This window comes from Homo sapiens, chromosome 5 (genome assembly GCF_000001405.40).
Source record: "Homo sapiens chromosome 5, GRCh38.p14 Primary Assembly".
In the NCBI taxonomy this organism is placed as follows: Eukaryota; Metazoa; Chordata; class Mammalia; order Primates; family Hominidae; genus Homo; species Homo sapiens.
This window is the reverse complement of record NC_000005.10, coordinates 39,218,139-39,233,820: the sequence shown is the minus strand read 5'-3', so window position 1 is coordinate 39,233,820 and position 15,682 is coordinate 39,218,139. Positions and strand designations below refer to the sequence as shown.

Sequence of the window (15,682 nt, the reverse complement as noted above, 5' to 3'; positions counted from 1 at the left end):
AAAGGCTATTAAGATATCCTTCCCTTTTCCAACTACATGTCTGTATGAGGCCATATCTTTATATACTTCAACCAAAACAATATGCCACAACAGACTGAATGCAGAGCAAACATCAGGATACAGCTGTTTTCTATTATGCCAGGCATTAAACACATTTGCAAAAATGTACAACAATTCCAAGCCTCTCACTAAAAGTTTTGTTTTAGAAAATATATTTTTCATAGAAGTTTTATGTTAATATGTAATGATTTATTGTTATTTTAAATGCATTAATAAGTAAATTAAAGTTTTCTCACTTATTACCAACGTTAACAAAAGCATTTTGGAGTCTGCCGATCATTTTTAAGCATTCAATGGTCTTGAAACCAAAGAGTTGAGAACCACTGCTCTAGAAGATGGTGAGTACAAATATAAAACAACTGGACTTGTAAGCAATGATTAACTGAAGAAAGAATAAAGCCAATAGAACTCTGTTTCTAAGCTGGCCAGGAGACACTGCTAAGGATGCTCACCATGGTTCTTCATCCAGTCAACTAATTACCCACAGCTCTTTGGGGGCTACATCTAAGTCTAACTTCCTCCTTGTAAACCAAACCGTTTATTTGCCCAGCCAAATATTTGCTAGCTCTTTCTAGTTGCATGCAAACTTTTTAAAATGAAATGTTTATGGAAGTCAGTGTGGCGATTCCTCAGGGATCTAGAACTAGAAATACCATTTGACCCAGCCATCCCATTACTGGGTATATACCCAAAGGACTCTAAATCATGCTGCTATAAAGACACATGCACACGTATGTTTCTTGCGGCATTATTCACAATAGCAAAGACTTGGAACCAACCCACATGTCCAACAATGATAGACTGGATTAAGAAAATGTGGCACATATACACCCTGGAATACTATGCAGCCATAAAAAATGATGAGTTCATGTCCTTTGTAGGGACATGGATGAAATTGGAAATCATCATTCTCAGTAAACTATCGCAAGAACAAAAAGCCAAACACTGCATATTCTCACTCATAGGTGGGAATTGAACAATGAGATCACATGGACACAGGAAGGGGAATATCACACTCTGGGGACTGTTGTGGGTTGGGGGGAGGGGGGAGGGTTAGCATTGGGAGATATACCTAATGCTAGATGACGAGTTAGTGGGTGCAGTGCACCAGCATGGCACATGTATACATATGTAACTAACCTGCACAATGTGCACATGTACCCTAAAACTTAAAGTATAATTTTTAAAAAAAGCAAAAAAAATAAATAAAAAATAAATAAATAAATAAATAAATAAAATAAATGTTTATGCTAAAATGTCACACTTACAATGGCTTTACATGAGGATTTAATTTCAATTTGAGAGGACAGCTGGGTCCGTTGTCAGCCTGAATACCATTTCTGAGACCTGCTGCACATCTGTGGGTTATTGCAAGGAGAACGGGTAGAGTGGTGCCCAGAGCAGCCCTGACTCACCTTCCTGGTAGCTTATTCATTTCTTTAGTTTCATGTGACTTATATTTCTGGGTAATATGGGCTACTGATGCCAGAAAAGTTTATATTAAATGTTCCTTTTTTGTACAAACATGCAATGTTCATTTTGATCAAAGCTGACTCCTGAAGGAGATTGGTATGCGTGTGTGTGCATGTGTAGTGTGTGTGCATGTTCTGAAACAGGTATCTTTCTGTCTTGCTCTTTCAGCCACTCTTATCTTTGGTTCAGAGAAAGTTCACCATTGTTCATTGTTCTACATTGACCTATTTCTCAAGAGCTCAGAGCTAAGGCAAACAGTTTGATGATATACAATTCATCCGTATCCCTGAAGCTTCTCTTCTGTCTTAAACATGCTTCCAGTCACTTTTTTTTAAGTCTCTTCACTATGTAAAAATGTATTATTACTTCAGTGAGTCAGTCTTACCTAGAAACCCCTTCAAAGGCATCATCCACAAGGCTGAAGTTGGCACTGTGGTCTAATGACTGAAACCCAACTAGACAGGGTGCAGCTGAGAATTGCTGATTCTGTGGGAACTTAGACTTCCCTGTCTCAGTTCTCCCCTCTGTGAAAGAGAAATAGCTCTCTGCACCTCTGTTCACCTCCCAGCCACATAAGAATTTTGAGAAATAATTAGTGTCTGAGCACCTCCTTATTAGCACTCTTTCTCCCATTGTTTGCACTAATCTCCTGGTCTCTCAGCCCACGAAATCCTACCCATTCTTCGAGTAGCATTTCAGGAGCACTCCAATGTGTAATAATTTCTTATGACTGGGCTGTTTATTTCATTCTTGAAATATATTACCCTGCAATAGTCATTGTATTATGAATTTTCCAGAAATATATCATATGTTTTTCCAAATAGCCTTGGGTTTCTTGAGAGAAGAGATTTTTTTCTTATTCAACTTTGCCATAGCACCTAACAGAAAGCTTTGTAACCCAAAAGGTACTCAGTACATTTAGAGAGAAAAGATGGCCAACCATGTATTTCGTACTTGCCATGTGCCAAGCACTGTGCCAGGTGCTTTTGAATGTGTTCCCTAATTGAATTCATGGAATTGAGGATGGAAATGGGGACATGACTTGTCCAAGGTAACACAGAAATCCCAGGGCAACAGCAGCTGAAGCTGGTGGCTACAGCTGTTTTGTTTTTTTTGTTTTTTTTTGTTTTTTTTTTTTTTGCTCTGAGCTGAGTACTTTTTTCTATTCCATCAAACTGCCTCCTGGAATAAATATGTCTTGATTAATAGCTCTTCCTGCTCATTATCTTTATTTCTTCCTCCTTGTTCTAATCAATATTAATATCATGATACAACACTTTAGTATATTTTCCTTTTTAAATAGAAAGATATTTGCACAAGATTATGCTCCATTTTTATTACGGTTGGCCTGGGACAATCAGTCATTCCATTCACTCTACTAATATATATACATGTATGTGTATATATATGTGTGTGTGTGTGTGTGTGTGTGTGTGTGTGTGTATACTGAGACAGGGAAGTCTAAGTTCTCACAGAGTCAGCAATTCTCAGCTGTACCCTGTCCAGTTGGGTTTCAGTCATTAGACCGTGATGCCAGCATCAGCCTTGTGGATAATGCCTTTGAACGGGTGTCTAGGTAAGGCCAATTCACTGAAGTAATAATACATTTTTACACAGTGATAGGACTTTTTAAAAAAGTGACTGTAAGCATGTTTAAGACAGAAGAGAAGCTGCAGGGATGTGGAAGAATATGTATACATATATACACACACACATATACAGAAATATATATACACATATTATACATATATACATATATATATGCTGTGACAAATTACCATGAATTTCATGGCCTAAAGCAACAGAAATTTATTGTCTTATAGTTCTGGAGGTCAGAAGTCTGCAATGAGCCTCTGAGGTGTGGGCAGAGTTGTGCTTCTTCTGGAGGTTCTGGCGGAGGCTCCATTTCTTTGCCTCTTCCAGCTTCCAAAGGCTGCCTGCATTCCTCGGCTCATGGCCTTATTTCAGCTTGAAAGCCAACAATAGCTGATCAAGTCTTTCTCAGCTGCATCACTCTGACACTGGCCTTCCTGCCATCTGCTTCCATGTATAACGATCCTTCTGGTTACTTGGGTCTTCCCAAAATAATCCAGAGTAATCTTCTCATTTTAAGATTCTTAACCTAATTGCTCTCCTGCAAATTCCCCTTTGCTATATAAGGTAGCATATTCACAGTTCCTGGGATATGGAGGTGGACATCTTTTGGAAGATGGGGACGTTATTTTGCCTACCTCACTATAGGAAGAGTTTAGTTATGTTGGAAACAGTATAAAGTAGTTCAGAGATTCCCGATCTTGATTTGCCCATTAGAATCATCTGAGAGCTCTGAAGAGTACAGATGCCCAGGCACCTCACTCAAGTACTGTGATTTAATTGAACCACACGGGCCTGGCTGTCAGCATTTTGTAAAATTACCCTCAGGTTATTCTCTTGTGAAGCCAGCTTTTAGAATCACTGGGTGTATTTAACGAAGTGGATCTGGACTATTATACAGACTGAAGTTTCAGGACCTCTTCTGCCTTTTAGGCAACTCACTTTACCTCTCTAAACCTGATTGCCCTTATCTATAAAATGGGCATAATCATCACCTTAGCAATATTATGAGGATTAAACTAGACAATCTATATAAATTCTCTGCACCTTGCCTGGAATATGTTAATCCCACAATAAAGGTAGCTATTAATCATTATTTGACTTTCATACAGTAAGTCAAATCATATCCCTAAGTTAAGGCAGACATAAATGTCAAAAGTGAATATCAAAGGATGTACCCCCAACTCACCCGCCTTGGTCAGACTTAAAGGAGTTTAGAGTTTCAACTAATTCTGGAAATGGACACAGTTCAGGTGAGTTACTAGTTTCCACTGTCATTTTATTTAAGTCTGGACAATGGCTGATTTCTCCCCTGGTTTCTTCTTTTATAGTCACTCTCTTAACACTGCAGAGAATGACTCTATAGAACAAATTAGCTTCGTATTTCGTGCAAGCAGCTTGTTGTCTGCACTTCTCTACTGGGGAATGGTGGACATCAATCCCATTCCAACAAGCTCAGAGTCCTACTGTGTTTTACATGGATCCTTTAGTAAGGGAGTATCAGCCCCTGTCTTCTAAAAGATTCATCCACTATTCCCTGGGTCCTGAGTCCCAGGCTCCTTTTGATAGCCCCAGTCCCATTCTGGCCAAGAAGGCAGGAGGACATTGAATCAGGACAGACCCCAGTCCTAGGATCGTAGCCATACTCTTCACACAGAGAGATGAGATCTTCTGCCACTGTAAGACAAAGCCTTGTTACTATCTCATTTTATTTCCATGCATTACAAAAAAATTATAGTGGACAAAAGAACCATCCTAATTTTATCGTGAGAGAAAACTGTATTTAGGTAAAAATCCCAAAGGGGTCATCAACTGTAATACTCTAATTGTGTTTTAAAATTTATTAGCTCTCAGAACCAAAAAAGAGGAAAGATTACATCATAAGTCAGAGATCTTGCTTTATTAGCTCTCAGAGTAAGAAAATAAAAAGGAAGGGAAGTTCATATATAAGAAGTATCTTCTACTTTTTTGTCTTGATTTTCTTTTGCTAACCTCTTTCTTTAACCACTGGGGAATTACGGGGAAATACGGTATCAAAAAATGTTGACCCTGGTGATTTGAAATTAAAATCAATGATTCCTAATATTCAATAGTAGTCAAGAAAACTGGAGGCTTATGATTCTACTTCCACTTCCTTCAGTTCTGGAAAGAAACTGACAACACATTACTATAGGTGACAACTTTTCCAAAGTTGGCATGTCCATGGTACAAAATATTTGTGGATATCTTTGTCCCATGAGGGGTAGACACATTTTGGTTTGTTTGTTTTGAGAAATTTTACAAACAGAAGAAACAGAATATATAAGAAACAACAATGTATTCATCACTAAGAACTGGCAAAGATTTTGTCATCTTTGCTTAAAGTCTTTCTAATACGAAAAGAATAAACATTATATATAAAGTTGAAATTCAGTCATAATTGTTCCTCAGGCCTATTTCTTGCCTTTGCTTCCCAAAGACAGTCTCTATCATGATTTCACTGTGTTTCATTTGAGGTTACTTATCTATCTACCAACTAAATGTAGTTCTATTCATCCTGATTTGTATGGCCAGGACCCCAGATCCTAGAAGGTGGAAATAATATTATTGCTCTTGTTAAAAGTTATCCTTTGCCTCTGAGTCTTTCATCTTATTCCAATCTGATCATTGATCTTAGAGAGATGCACTGGGCTTTATATGTGTGTCAAGAATGGAAACAGCATATATGTCTTATCCAAGCCTTCTGTTCCCAGTTCCCAGTTGGCCCTCTCAAGGTGAAAGGTCTTCCCCAGTGAAAAACATTTTGGGTCAATCTTATGGGATTCAAGAAAAACAATTCTATAAAGAGAATCAGGAGGAGAATTTCAAAAGCTCATGACTCAATGAGGCCTGATGAAGGAAAGCTTTATGCGTGTTATTAAGGAGTTGAAATTTTTTCTTCCATGGATTGCAAACCAAAGGCCTACTGGATTCAGGCAGGTGACTTCAATGACGGAAGCCATTATGGCAAACTCTGGAGGCTTTTCAGAGCTCCAGCAAATTGTTGCATCAGAGAATCAGACTTTGCATGGAAAGCTAGAAATTTCCATCATTACATGAATTCACTTTAGTGTTTATATTTTATCATTTTTAAAAATTAAAATCTACAGAAAAGCTTAAACAATAACACAGCACACATCTATATCCCTTTCATCTAGATTTACACCAAATTGTTAATGTGTTGCCACATATGTGTGTATATAAATTATTTCCTAAGCCACTTGAATACAAGTTGTGCAAATGACAATTCATTCTCACAGATCTCAGCATGCACCTCCTAAGAATACGAACATTCTCTAGTTTAACCATAATACTATTGGCATCCCCTATGAAAAATAATAATTTCATAACATTTAATTGCCCATATTGAAATTTCTCCAGTTGTACCAAAATTATCTTATCAACTTTTTTTTTGTGCAAACCAGAATCCAACCAAGAGTTATGTATTACACTTGATTTTTATATCTTTTTGGTATATTTTAATCTGGACAAGTTTCTCCATCATTTTATGCTTTTCCAAACTACTTTTAATGGATTTATATGAACGTATGTGAGTGTGTGTGAATTTATGTGAATGTATGTGTGTTTGCACACACAGAGATGCAACAAAAACAGGTCTGAAGACCAGATTTATGCTGTGAGTTTTATTCTCTGCACCCAGATATAGCCTATCAAAAGTCCCACAGACAAATGTGTAGTCAATATAGCTTTTGCCTCAGCCAATATTAGTGTATTTTCTTATTAGGCATGGAAAGATAAGAGATAGAGAATGCCTTCTTTTATTGACATTTATTGAGGGCCTAAGCACCTGATGCTGCACTAAACTCTAAGAATGATAAATGAAAGTCACTTGGAGGAGGGAGCTAGTTACAATAGCAGTTTGCCTGGCACCACCCTAAACCTACTAAATCTGGAATCTGCACTTTAATCTCCTCTGGTTATTTTTATGAACACTAAAGTTTGAGAACTACTATTCTAAACACACCCATGAAAATAAGAAAGTGAACTCTACCCCTGACAAGATCTAGTAGAATGAAGATGTAGAATGCTATCATACGATGCAATACATACTCTGAAAGGGTCAGAGGAGACTTTGATGGAGGAGGTGAAATTCTAGCTGAATTTGAAAAAGGGTGGATTAACAAAGGGTAAGACAATGTGGAAGAAGACATGAAGTGAGAGAAGCAAAAGCAATGCCACATGCAAGTGAAGAGGTAGTAAGCTCTGATGAAGGAAACGCTTGTATGTACTCTTAAAGAGTTGATTTTTTTTTTTTTTAAAGGTTTGGAAAGCTAGTGAAAGGCTTAAGCAAATATCATCCAGTTAAGCATAGGAAGATCATGTTGACAACCCTGCAAAGAAAGGATTAGAGGCAGAACAATTCTATCGGAAGCCACTGCAGTTAAAGAGGCAGGAAATGATGAAGTTGGTGCACTGAGACTGGAGGGAAAAGGCTGAATTCAAACAACACTTGGGAGACAGGAGCAACAGGACATGCTGGTTACACATGAACATGTAAGTCAGAGAAAGGAGTCTAAAGCCAATCCTCAGCTCGCATTTCAGTCTTGTGTAGATGGTGCCTGTTGGACATTCAGGGGAAAATGTCTCTTATGTGGTTACCTAGCCAGGAGAGCAACAGTAAGACCCTCAGAATTGTGAACCAGGGACCCATGAGAGGCCTGCAGCTGGGGCAAAATGCTGTGACGAAATAAGCCTTGGATCAGACTGTGGGCTTGGTGCACACTTGCATGCTGAGCAAAGGAACTTGTTAACACTATTAAAAAAGTGGAACCAACCACTGGTGAACATTATGGTTTTGTTGAAAGATCCCTGTATGCTTTGCCTACTTCTAGTGCAATGATTTTCTCTCTCCACTCTTTTTTATCAGTTGCCTCCAAAATAAAATGAGTATCTCAGGAGGAGTGTTCAAGACAGTTCATTGGGCATGAAGAGAAATTGTTAGAAATCTTATACTTTAAAAATCTCTTCCTTTATTTTCTATTTTTGTTTGCACTTTATAATGGTTAAAGTATATGCATAACATACTTTATAAGAAAAATTTCGTACAAGATGAATTTAGCAGTTTATTTGAATAAAAAACAATTCATGAATTGGGCAGCATCAGAACCACAAAAGGTTCAGAAAGCTCCACCCCAGCAGCATGGGCAGTGAGTTTTCATAAGTGCACTAAGAAAAAAGACAAAGAAAATATATTTGACTGTTTAGAGCAAAAAGACTAGTTAGAGGTTAGTTGGCAGTATCTGATTGGGAAAGTCTTTACTTAGATGTTAGTTGGCCATTCTAATTGGTAAAGTTTATCTTATTGTTTATATTGGGCTTTGGTTTGCTAACATAAAAACCTAAAACTCTGGAGCCTTCCCAGCCTAATGCTCTGTCAATTAAAATGTTGTAACAGACACATACACACCATACACACATATATACATACATGTATATATATGGGTTCATTAATAAATATTCACATTTTTGCAGTGCTTACTCAAATATATTTTACTGCTAGCTATACAAAACCAAAAATCTTCAGTGACCACTCTTCTGCATGGCAGAAAATCAGGAAGAGACTAAAGGATGCGAAGTGGGGAAGCAGACACTGTTCTCATACCTCTGCTTCTTAAAGATTGCTGACATCTTTTATAAGGTTTTGTCCACTAATAAAACCCCATGTAGCAAAAACCTCTGGAAGGTATTCAAGTCCCTTATAACTTTCCGTAATATAAATGCATTTCTAGAATTTTAGAAGCTTGGAGGTGGAAAAATCTCTGATGTTAACCAAGTAGTTTCCTACTTGGAAGAAAGCAGGAAGAATGAGCAGGTTAGAGGAAAGAGGTTGAAGTTAGAAGGATTTAGGGAGAGGAAAGTAGAGAAAAGCCACTTTTTACACATTAAATAGGAGCCAGTCCTGCAGCTTGCAGATCGTAATGCTTCTCTGATATGTGTACATGAGTGTTGAGTTGAGTAAGGGGAAGTAGCTGTTAAAGTCAAAGAAAATAAGCAGAACCCATTTCTTTTCTTCTCTCCTACACAGTCCATTCTCATCCTAATGTGTTTGGGCACTGAGTGATTTCTGACAACAGACAATGAGCTCTCTAGAGGAATACACACCTTTAATGAACTGTGATCAGGATGTGATTGGCTTAAAGACAGAGCTCTTGACAAGTCAATATATGTTGGCAGGGCAACAACAAGCTTCCAGAAAGGCGTGGACTCCTCAGAGCTTCATCTGCTGCTGTCTGGAGCAGTGGCGAAGCTTGGGAGGCCACTCCCTGGGTGAGCAAGCAGAAGGTGGCAGCCCTCCCCCATCTGTTTTCACAGGACGCTTAATCCCTGTAGTAAGGGAAACCGTCAGGACTGTGCTAAAGGCTGACTGGAGGCCAAATCATTTCACTTTCAAACACATTCATGATTTGTTTTCTGAGTAAGTCACTGGAGGCTTTTATCTGGCACAGCAGAGCTGGCTTGGCCACCAGAACCAGATCACCTTTCCTTGAAAGATGGCTGGAATGGCCATCGGTTTCGTGTTATTTACTCCTTTGAGAATATTAACTTCATCATTTTTTTAATTGTGGAAAAATATAATTGCTAGTAAGTACAACAATAAGTACAGTATTTAATTTAGAGGACAGAGAAGCAAGCACATTGACAAGTGATAGGCATGAACAGGCTGACACCTCAAAGTCATCATTATACTGAGCAGACAGCACAGGATAGGGTTTCTCCACCTGGAGAAGAGGGGAGTGTGGGATGAGATAGGGACAGTAGAAAATTTGGGCTGGGGTATAAAGACAGAAATTCTTATATCTGAAATGGATATTTGATACTGGGAGTAGTGAGTTGAGAATAAGCTGACCTTCTCCATCTCTACTACACCCACCCCCACTCTAATTCTCTTACCTAGGGTTTTATCTCCTTGTATTGCACAACAGAGCTGCACCAGATAGAGAAGTGGAAACCTAGTTTTTACGTCCACAAAGAATGAGCTACTCATTGAGACATTCATCATTTGCTTAGAATTACTCTTGCATGGGGGAATGGAAGCCCTAAACATTTAATAAATATCCAGAAGCACTGAGGTGTTAGCTTGATTCTGTAGCAGATGTTAAGACCAAAAACTTTATTTAAGAAGCATTTGAATGATTTTTTTAAATTTAATTGCTCAGGTTTCCCTGTAATTTATGAAGGCCTTTAGTGAATAGCCACAAAAATAATGAAAACTTCATATTCAAATAATAACTTAATATTACATTACTGGTTTCCTTTAGAAACATAATGCAAGTAATTCTTTTCAACTTCACCTTCTGTCAACACCATCTCAAGGAGGACTATACATAAAGGAAAATATGCTCCTCATATTTTTATATTTTCCTCTAAATGATAGGGGAAAATACTACTACTATACGGTGTCTTAAAAGTCTTACATTAATTCTCCAGTTCAGAAAATTGGTTGCCTGTAGCCAAAGCATGTAGTAAAATAGGTTTGCATGAAAAGCAATGCTTTTGCTTTTATTTTTTTATTTTTTATTTTTAAATTTTATTTTATTTTATTTTAAGTTCCAGGGTACATGTGCAGGATGTGCAGGTGTGTTACATAGGTTAACGTGTGCCATGGTGGTTTGCTGTACTTATCAACCCATCACCTGGGTATTAAGCCTGGCATGCATTAGCTATTTTTCCTGATGCTCTCCCCTCCATTGCCCTCCCCCAACAGGCCTCAGTGTTTGTTGTTCCTCTCCCTCTTTTATTGATTATAAGACACATAACACAGAGTGACAAGGGGAGAATCAAATGTAATTATCAGCATCATCATCTTGTTGTAATCAAATAATATTACTGCACAAATTTTCCTTTGTGAGCAAAGATTTTATAAAAATAGAAAAATGGGTGTTTATTATTATGTAATAATAAGAAAAGCTCAAAATAAGATAAATTTGAGCAAGTATCTATACTTCCGCTTATTTCGGAAACATACCATCATGTTACTAAACTCACCTCATAGCATTTTAGTTGTTTTTATTAAATCTTCAAACCTTTCAGACACTACTAAGCATAGAGACCATTCATAACAAATGAAACTTTCAGTTTTTTAAACTAAAACTTTCTAAATGTGTACATTTCTTTTCTGCCTTTTTGGAAAGCAAACTTTTAAAAATGTATATACTTTTAGGACACAGAGGCTGAGAGATATAAATTGCTGGGCTCACCTTCCCTTTAGTGGGACAAATGCATTAAAAAAGAGCAAGAGTCCCACAAACCAGGAAGCTGCCCTTGGCCTCTAATACATTAATTAATGTTTATAAAGTGCCTTCTGTATGCCTGGCAATGTACTACAAGCTGGAAATCCAGGACAAATAAGCCACAGTTACCGCCAACCCTTAAGGAACTCATGATCTAGTGAGAAACACAGACATATCTCCAACAACTAAGAGAGAGTACAAGACGCCAGAGCTCAGAAGGCCTTACCCAGTCTTGTGGGACAAAGTTCAAAAGGAGATCATATCTACACTGGGTTTTGGAGCATAAGCAGGAGTTAGCCAGGTGAAAAAGGAGAGGGGGCAGTACATTCCATGAAGACAGGGCGTGTTGCTTGCTTTTGGAGGATTATTTCATTTTATTTTATTTTATTTTATTTTACTTTATTTTATTTTATTTTATTTTTGAGACAGAGTCTTGCTCTTGTTGGCCCGGGCTGGAGTGCAATGGTGCAATCTCAGCTCACTGCAACCTCCGCCTCCTTTGTTCCAGCAATTCTCCTGCCTCAGCCTCCTGAGTAGCTGGAATTACAGGTATGCACCACCACCACGCCCAGCTAATTTTTGGATTTTTTAGTAGAAACAGGGTTTCACCATGCTGGCCAAGCTAGTCTCGAACTCCTGACCTCAGGTGACCTACCCTCCTAGGCCTCCCAAAGTGCTGGGATTATAGGCGTGAGCCACCTCACCCAGTGGATTATTTTATTTTGTTTTGGCCATCTGAGAGAGGTTGGCAGAGAGGAGAAGAAAAACAAGTAATCCCAAATTCCAGTTAGGCTTCCTTCATGGCCCAAGATCAACTGTCCCATGTTAGGTAAAGTCTTCCTCAACTCTTCTGCCCCCATGCAGAAGGAATTACATATTCCTGGGTATTTCCAGATGCCTTTATTCATACTTTGAGCTTAATACTCATCACAGTGTGTCATGGTTAGTTATACAGTGTCTATCTCTATAGTGGTTATAATACATGTTTGGTTGCAGCAAAAGAGACACAACATAACACTGATTTTTAAAAGTTAAATGTCTGTCCTCCTGTTCCCTTCTTTATAACCATCTAGCAAAATCCAGTGAAGATGGGGTTGTCTCCTGTGTTGGGGGCCAGGTCCTTCTATCTCCTGGCTCTGTCATGCCTAGAGTATTACCTTAGTCATCACTGGATCAGAAGAGCTCAGGCCCCCACAGCATCCCAGCCAGCTGGGAGGGGAAAGCATGATGGGGCCCTCTTTTAGGACACACCAAGAAGCTACATAGATCCCTTCTGCATAGATCCCATTGACTAAAACTTAACCACATGGCCAAATCTAATGTCAAGAGGGACTAGAAAATGCCTTATCCTGTGTAGCTGTGGGCCAGGTAAAAAGCCAGAGATCTCTTAGGATAGAATAAGCATCCTAAACTTTTGGCAAACTTTTTCTGCAGAGGACTAGATAGTAAATATTTCAGGCCATATACGGTCTCAGCCATGTCATCATCATTGTTGTCATCATCATTGTTACCATCATTGTCTTCTTTTGCTTCTTCTCCCTTTTCTTACAATTCTTAAAAAATGTAAATTCTTAGCCTGAGGTCTGTACAAAACATTCCACAGGCCAGATTTGGCATGCGGGCCATAGTTTGCTGACCCTACTACTCTATAAGAAGGGAAAATCATACGGGGAGGAAAGTGACCATCTCTGGCATAACGTCTGTAAGATTATAAGCCACTGAGTGGAAAATCCTTGTCTTCTCCATCTTTCTAGTCTTGGCCAGTGCTTGACCCACACAGTAAGTGTTTGATGTTTATGAATGAATGAGTAGAAGGAAGGTGGGGGAGGTTAATTTCACAATCACAATTTGTTAAAATCTCATTTAGTCCCAATGGTAGCCTCTGTTTTGGGGGGTTTCTTTTCTTTTCTTGTCTTTTCTTTTCTTTTTTTCTCTTTTCTTTTTTGAGTTTCTTTCTTTCTTTCCTTCTCTTTATTTTTCTTTCTTTCTTTCTTCTTTTTTTTTTTTCCTTCAGACAGGATCTTGCTCTGTTACCCAGGCTGGAGTGCAATGGTGGTGCAATCATAGCTCACTGAAGCCTTGAACTCCTGTGCTCAAGAAATCCTCCCACCTCAGCTTCCCAAATGTCTGGGGCTACAGGCATGCACCATCACACTTGGCTAATTTTTTTTTTATTTTTGTAGAGACAGGGTCTCACCATGTTGTCAAGACTGGTCTTGAACTCCTGGTCTCAAGCAATCCTCCTGCCTCAGCCTTCCAAAGTACCGGGATTACAGGCATGACCCACTACACTCAGCCCCACTGGTGGTCTTTTCACATGGATTATCATCTAAATACTCCATTTCTTCCAGCCTCAAGAATAGTCTAACAGAGAGCCGACAGAGTGAGTCTAGTGGGCTTTCCACACATGAGTGACCACTCTTCAGTTGATATGGTCAAGCACACCACTTTACCTCCTGACCTCAGGTGCAATTAGCTTCCAAATATTCCACATGCTCCAGTGGACCTTTCTAATTGTAAGCATCCCCCTTTGGCCCCCATTGCAGGTGACACTCCTGGGTGTGTGGAAAGATTATGGGTCCAAAGAACTTACAGCTTCTTCCTCTTGAATAAACATGGTGGCAGGCAGGAGAATCTTGTTTTGGTTTTACCCTTTTAAATATCACATGCTTGGTGGGAATGTTAGCAGAAGTATCCAGGCTGAACAGACACTTTTAAGTTCCCCTTTCTCCTCCTTATTACTCAATATCCTGAGGGCATAATAGAACTTTTCTTGTCTAAGTTTGCCTGGTCAGGGGAGGGAGGTGTGGCTCACTCAACCACTGACCGGGACAAAACCCTGCCAGGCATCAGAAAGCTCCGCAGTTCTTGAGTTCCACATGCAGAGCAGATGCGACAGCTAGAAGTGAGTAGGGCCCAGACCCTGGCCCAGGAAGATCCACTAAAGGAGGCCATCCTTCCGCCTTCTTCTGCAGGAGTCAGGTAACAGCTATGCCTAGGTTTCTTCTTTCAAATAAATGTGTAATTTTTTATAGCAGGAAAAAAGCACCACTTCCAAATTCTGGCAGCACAGACTGTGCTAGCTGAATAACTGAAGGAAACGCATGTTCTGTTGGAAAATAGCAAAAGAGATGAACAGGAGACACTAAAACTCAGCCTCATGGTAGCCAAAAGGATGATAAGCAGATAAAAATGTGGCCGGGAACGTGTCTGTCACTTGCTCTTTCGTAACTGGATAAGGCCTCTCATGTGTTCTTGTTGGAACCTCTGGTGCCACTAGCGTTAAATAACGTCTTGCAGTGAAACCAGAAACAAGGTTTTATTGCCAACAGAGCTGGGCACAGATGGTTTATTTCATCCTGGTTCCTAACAAATATGTGTCCATCCTTTTGATGAGAAAGAGTAACTTTCAATTTCCTCCAAACCTGGCAGGAGGTGAGGATTCACATGAGATTTCTACATAGACTAAAGAAAGGGACTATACTGCCATGAATTATGCCTTCTCAGAAGGAATCCTGGCAAACTGGATAAATGATGACAAACAGCTGCAGATCAGCCAAGGAGGCCTTTCAAAGCAACCAGCAACTCCAAATTTTCCTCGGAGCCTTTGGCTGTCTTGTATACATTGCTGATTCTTCTGAAAAATTCACAAGGTCTTTTCCCCCCATTTAACTTGATTTGCAGGGAAGTAATTAATAGAAATGGGCCTCTGACTCTGCCTTCTATTAGCTGTGTGACTTTGGGAGAGCCACTTAACCTCTCTGTGTCTCAGTTTTCTCATCTAAACATGGGGATAATAATAGAACTCATCTCATGGAGTTGTTGAGGGGATAAAACTATATACACTTTTTGAGTACTAATGTAAAATAATAATTAATATTCACCATTTTAAATATTTTTTCATTAAATACAAATAATTCTGCGTGGGAAACAGATGGGCTTATCACCGGAAGGGTGAAGTTGTGGCTGTGATTTTCTGCCCATGCTATGGGAATGCCACCGGAGGTTTTAGGTAGAGTAAAACGTCCCCATGCAATGTGAGATACACACACTTCAAATAGTCCGATACCTTAAGAAATTAATCATAAGTGATAGGTGAGGGGGAGGAGGATAAGGGTGCTCTTTCCAATAAAACCACATGTTTTATGATGTACCATTAAAGGCGATCCTGAATATCAAAGGCGTTATGGTGCACTTAAGGCACCCCGTGGAAAAGTTGACCATCCGTTTCAAAAAGGAAAGGCTAAAAAGGTTTCCATTTCCCTTGAGAAATTATTGTAAAGGTT

At 39.1% G+C, this 15,682-nt stretch overlaps 1 protein-coding gene across 16 annotated transcripts in view, besides 2 other annotated features; it reads left to right on the top strand.

Annotated features, from left to right (window-relative positions):
* FYB1 (FYN binding protein 1) overlaps nucleotides 1-15,682 on the top strand; it is a 169,277-nt gene that overhangs the window by 40,708 nt on the left and 112,887 nt on the right. For 6 of the 16 annotated variants that reach the window (NM_199335.5, NM_001465.6, NM_018594.2 and 3 more), the window contains exon 1: nucleotides 14,258-14,378. The exons of the other annotated variants lie outside the window; for them this stretch is intronic. The gene's annotated coding sequence lies outside the window, so the exon portion shown is untranslated. Of the gene's footprint in view, nucleotides 1-14,257; nucleotides 14,379-15,682 lie in introns of those variants that run through there. 16 annotated transcript variants of the gene reach the window in all.
* Nucleotides 1,520-1,814: a silencer, noted in NCBI's record as "tiled region #14491; HepG2 Repressive DNase unmatched - State 7:EnhWF, and K562 Repressive non-DNase unmatched - State 24:Quies". NCBI's record gives its function as "represses a minimal TATA promoter and a strong SV40 promoter by Sharpr-MPRA in HepG2 and K562 cells {active_cell/tissue: HepG2 | K562}" and the evidence as "EXISTENCE:reporter gene assay evidence [ECO:0000049][PMID:27701403]".
* Nucleotides 12,681-13,182: an enhancer, noted in NCBI's record as "H3K27ac hESC enhancer chr5:39220741-39221242 (GRCh37/hg19 assembly coordinates)". NCBI's record gives its function as "activates a minimal SCP1, AML or CMV promoter by ChIP-STARR-seq in primed H9 embryonic stem cells {active_cell/tissue: H9 hESC(primed)}" and the evidence as "EXISTENCE:reporter gene assay evidence [ECO:0000049][PMID:30033119]".